At 33.0% G+C, this 5,780-nt stretch overlaps 1 annotated feature.

Moving 5' to 3' along the window:
* Positions 464–1,361: an enhancer, noted in NCBI's record as "OCT4-NANOG hESC enhancer chrX:113685459-113686356 (GRCh37/hg19 assembly coordinates)". NCBI's record gives its function as "activates a minimal SCP1, AML or CMV promoter by ChIP-STARR-seq in naive H9 embryonic stem cells {active_cell/tissue: H9 hESC(naive)}" and the evidence as "EXISTENCE:reporter gene assay evidence [ECO:0000049][PMID:30033119]".

Raw genomic sequence — 5,780 nt, 5'->3', positions numbered from 1 at the left:
AGAAGTCATTTTCAAATTATGTTCTGGAAGTTTGTGTAAATGGGGTAACAGTATTTTGTACTCAAAAGTTATATTAAGCAAAATGTATGACAATGCATGTAATGAATACATACAAGAAACTCTCATTTGTAACCCCCATCTTACCCAAATTAATTCCCAAATTCAGTACAAAATTATGTTTTATAATCTGCCAAGGGAACCTCAGGTGAGCTTGGCAAACTTGTACTGTGGATAAATCAAGATTGAAATTTCAAGAGTAAGATCCTAAGATTCTGTTTTAAATGCAGTGAGGCATCGTGTGTCAAATGTGATCTCTTTCTGTCTTATTGCTTCTCCATAAAGGTCTGATAAACTGAATGTTCCTGGGAAAGCTAAGCAAAAGTACTGCAGATAGGTGCTGGTGCTCTTTTAACTGAAAGCTATGGCCCAGTTGTAGGAAAAGATAAGTGAGGGCATCAAATAGAAAGCAAGGTGAGGGCAGTGAGAAGAATAGAAAGAGAAAGGGAATGGTAGAGTGGGAGGTAGAGGTATAGAAAAAAGAGATACTGTCACCTTTAAGCACGCTTTCCAGGTTTTCAGCACTTAATCTTGTTGAGGATTCTGTCCTTTCTCCTGCTGGAAACAGACAGCTCCTTTACCTCTAGATTTTTTTCTGAAGGCTACCTGCCTAAACTTCTGGTTGTCCCAATTTCTACCTTCATCTTCTGCTAACCTGACTGTATAGCCTTGCAACTGCCCTTTGGAACCTCTAATGTTGTCTTATTCCTGCTGCTTTTAAAGGCCCGGCATTTTATTTGTAAAAGGGACTCAGTGAGCACTCCAGTCTTTCAAAGAGCAAACAGTAAAAAAAAAAAAGTTGACAACATTCAGCCCCTTTTAGGGAGATCAACATACACTAAAAGTCTCTGTTCTCTCATTGGTTTTACACTCTTGCCAAGTTTTCAACATTTTAAGCAAAAAAAAATTAAAATTAAATCTGAAGTTGAGAAATGAAAGAGGAGCTTCTTCTAAGTGAATGCTGAATGAGAATGAATAACTTCAAGTATCTTAAAATTAATATTGGCAAAGTTTGGCAATATTTTTAAAAAACGAGTCTCCTACAGTGTAGATCTATAGAAATATGCAACAGGATTTGAAGCAGCTTAGGAGGGACTAATATATTAATATTAAACTCTTTAAGTAGGCTTTCTTTTTTGTTTTGCAAATCAGCTTAATTGCCATAGGAAAGAAGAAAAAAAGCCACAACTTGAATGTCAAAGTATTTAATTCACGTGGTCACCCAAGGACACCATTTGTGTAATTGCTCTGCTCTCTAAGAAACTAGAATATTTTCTCCTAAATCTACCATGTATTCAACAAGCCAGTGTGGCCAATTGTTCCTGCATAAATTATCCATTTTCTGAAAATGGCAGAAAGAAGAAAAACAACAAAATCTTTGGGGAAATCTTGTGATGAATAAATGCAGTCTCCTATAACTCTCCCATAAATAAGTTCTCATTGATAGAATCTGTTATAATTGGGAAGATTGTCAGCACTACTTTTATTACAGGAAAATATTTTAGCAAGTACAAATCAGGATATAATTATTCGGCTATTTATACACTTGGAGTAGATTTAGGGTTGTTGGATTTGTCAAATAGAAATGCTGGATGACCAGTTAAATTTCAATTTCAGAATAAACAATGAATAATTTTTTTTAGTATATGTCCCAAACATGGCATGAAAGAAACATGCTTATACAATTATTTTCATCTTTTTATTTCAAATTAAAATTTGACTGAACATCCTATATTTTATCTGGCCACCCCAGGTAGTTCCTTCCAAAAGCAAACATATTATATTTATCTTCAGTTGCATTTCTTCACACAATAAATCTAGCTGTTTAATTTATAACTTCCTTTATTTTCTTTTCTTCTGCGTCTGATTTCTTTCCCTCTGGATAAGGCTGGGATTTATTTCTTTGAAATAAACATCTTCTGAACCCAGTGATAGAAGCTGGGACTATGCATGGTTTAGGGTTATCTTCCCTAGACATAGTTTTTAAAGCATTCATTAACTGAGAAAAGGATAAAAATACTGATTACTTTTATTTGAACCAGTGATTCTAAAATGTAATTATTTTTTACTATATAAAAGTATGTGTATTTATATTTTAATAATATATATGTTTAAAATTGCTAAAGGCAAATTCTAGTCAATTTTCTGTGTGTGTGTGTGTGTGTGTGTGTGTGTGTGTGTCTATGTATTTTATATACATATATAGTGGTGGTTTCCGCTATAATATTTGCTAAGAACTAAGATGATCCCATGTGATCCCTTTGTTTTACTCTGTTTTGTAAGAGTAGATGCTTTTCTAATTCTTTACTTCATGATTACTTTTCTCTGGAATTACCCCATGATGGAGTTTTAAATATTTATATTAATTTTAGAAGGATTGCTAAAATAGTTTTAAAGTTAGACATCAAATAAGTTTGCACGCTGATTTTTAAAATAATATGAATGAGTTGAAACATTTGGGAAGAAATGGCAACTAAATTCTCTCCATTTTACAATTCAGTTATGACATTGATTCCTTCCTGAACTAATGAAGCATAGGAGGGAAAGAGAGATGGTAACAATAAAGAGATATGTTATGCAATGCCAAAATTGGCTAAATGAATTTCTATTCCTGTAACAAAAAGTTATTTGATATATTGCAGCAATTTAGTAGAATTGCAAATGTCTGCCTGTAAGACTTGTCTAATAGCTCAATATTAATTCAGGCAAAATATATCAAACATCCTTTAGTTTGTGTATGCTATGTTACAAAGTTTTAATAGCATTCCTTCCACTTGAGATAAAATTGTATATAAAGAATTAAGCAAAGTAGGAATTATAATTCACAGAAACTATTTTGATAATTCAACATTTTTACTATGAATATTTTTGCTAGTGAATTAGATAGCTGGGTTCACAGATTGACAACAACAGATATGTGACATTAGTGATACATACAGACAGCAATTGTCTTTCTCTTTGCAAGGTCATGAGCACTGTAATTCTTTCTGTTAGAAAGAGTCATTGGTTATAGAATCATGCTGCTAAAGATGGTATAGTCTAGTGCAAACACTATTTTTGGGGAAGTAAATGGGGCCCTGATAATGAGAACTTTCCACAATAACAAACTTAAATCATATTACTGCCCAGCTCACTCTTCTTACTGAGATTAAGTTGTTTTTATAGAGTAAATGCTCCCAGATTGCTGCAAAGATTTAGTTAATTTCCAGAGTTCTAAAAAAGTTGCTTCTGACAACTTTTGCCATTTTTTTGGAAGAAAAATATTGTCAGAGGTTTTTACTCTGCCATTTTCACTGATGTCACTCCTAACTGTTTAATTACAAAGGAAGATTTAAGCTAATAGGGAAACGGCAGGAAAACTTTTGTGTTGTGGCTAGTGAACCTGTGGAATTAATAAAAAAAAGATTTCTTAGAGCATGAAACAATTCTGGGCACACGATCCTATACCAATACCATTAGATGCCTCCTGCCGCTGGGTGAGGGGCAGGAGAGTTTCTCCTGCATGGAAACCTAACTCAAATACAAAGCAGAGTTTGGCTTTCTGGAATGAGAATGAAGGGCAGGAATGCTGAGAAATCTCCACCTTTCAGGCCTAGGCACACTGCATCTACTTAAGTATAAGGCCAGATAAGGAAAACAGACTCCACTTCCTGGAACCTTTATCATAAACCTAGCACCGACCAATAAATTATAGCCACCTATCGTTAGGGAGGAGCAAGAGCCAAAGAGAGAGCCATTCTGTGCACCAAGTGTGTGGACACAGTTGTAAACTTAGAATTGGGCACCAACAGAGAAAAATACCCAGTGCCAAATCTGCCTTCAGCCTAGGCATAAATCTACAGCAGTCCGTTACCAGAGGAATTTTATGCTGTGTGCATTGCAGAAAACAACAGCAGCAGAAAAACCCAAACACAGATATATTCCTGACTACATTTTTCAACCCCCTATACTAACAGCCTAATAAAAGAAAAAACATGCCCATTCCTGGACATGAATAACATTTACCTCAGTCTCTTCTGTTCTACACATGATGTTGGGCATTAAATTTAAAAATTTGAAACAAATCAATCAACAGAACCAGCTGCAGAGGAGATATAAATGCTAGAACTTTGAGACAGGAACATTAAATTAACTGTAATATATTAAAGGATTTAGTGGGAAAGGTGAATAATTGCATGCACAAATGGAGAAATTCAGCAGAGATGGTAACTATAAAAAACATGTCAAATGTAAATCTTAGAAATATAAAAGACAACATCAGAGATGAAGAATGTCTTCAATAAGTTCATCAGTAGGCTCAACACAGTCAAGAAAACGTATATGAACCTCAAGATAGTTCCATGCAGATTACCCAAACTGAAACAGAGGAAAAAGAAAGAAAAAATGTAATAGGGTATCTAAAAAACATGGAACAATAGCAACGGTTTTAACAAAGAAGGAAGAGAGAAGGAACATGGCAGAAACTATTTAAAGAAATAATGAGAAACAATTGCCCCCAAATTATGAATGGTATCAAACCACAAATCCAAGAATCTCAGAAAACAATGTATCAGACAAATAAGAATGAGAACAAAATACCACATCTAAACATATCATACTTAAAATGCTGAAAAAATGAAAATTAAAAAAAAAAAAACCTTGAAGGCGATTGGAGAAAAGGAACTATTTTCAATACAAAGAGATAAAGGCTATAGTAGACTTTTTGTCAGAAAATATGCATGTCAGGAGAAAAATGACTGACATTTCCAATGAGCTGAAAGAAAAAAAACACCATCAACTCAGAATTTAATACCCAGTTAAAATGTTTTTCAAAATGATGAAACAAATCAGTTTTTTAAAAACAAATTCTAAGACTATTCACTACCTGTAGACCTGTGCTACAAAAGAAAATGCTAAGGACAGTTTTCAGACAGAGGAATACCAGACAGAAACTTTGAATGAAACAATGAATTGAAGAGCTGCGAAAATGGTAAAAACGGTAAATATAAAAGACACTGCTTTCTTATTTTTAATCATTTGAGAGGATAATAAATATTCTAATGCAAAATAGTAACAAATGTACTGTGGGGTTAATTACATGTAAAAGTAAAATGTATGCCAACGAAAAACAAAAGAGGAGAGAGAAAAAATGGATCTCATCTTAGGTTTCTTATACTATATATGAAATGACATATTATTTGAAGGCAGACTATGACATATTAAAGAAGTACATTGTAATCTATAGGCAACTATAGAAAATTAGAACAGTTGTATAAATATAATAAACTAATAATTCAGATGAAAGAAAAATCATAAAAAGCTACTAAATTTTCCCAGACAAGGGCAAAAAAAGAGAAAAAAAGGAACAAAGAAAACAACACAAATAGAAAACAGCTGGAAAAATAGTAGATATAAATCCAAGCATATTAATAATTACCTTAAAACAAATGGCTTAAGTGCTTTAAAAGTTAGAGATTGTGAGAGTAGATAAACTGCAAGACCTAAGTTCATGCTATCTACATGAAACTCCCTTGGAAATTAAAATCATAAATAGGCTAAAAGTAAAAGCATAGAAGATGATATAACATGCAAATGCTAATCAAAAGAAAACTATAGTAGATATATTAGTATCAGACAAAGTAGTAATCAGTACAGTGAGACTAATAGGGAGAATGAAGCATATTATATAATAACAAATGGACTGATTTCCTAAGAAGAAATTAAAATTCTAAAAATTTAAGTAT

Source organism: Homo sapiens, chromosome X (assembly GCF_000001405.40).
Source record: "Homo sapiens chromosome X, GRCh38.p14 Primary Assembly".
Lineage (NCBI taxonomy): Eukaryota > Metazoa > Chordata > Mammalia > Primates > Hominidae > Homo > Homo sapiens.
Note: the sequence above shows the minus strand (reverse complement) of the source record. Positions and strands in the feature narration are given on the sequence as shown.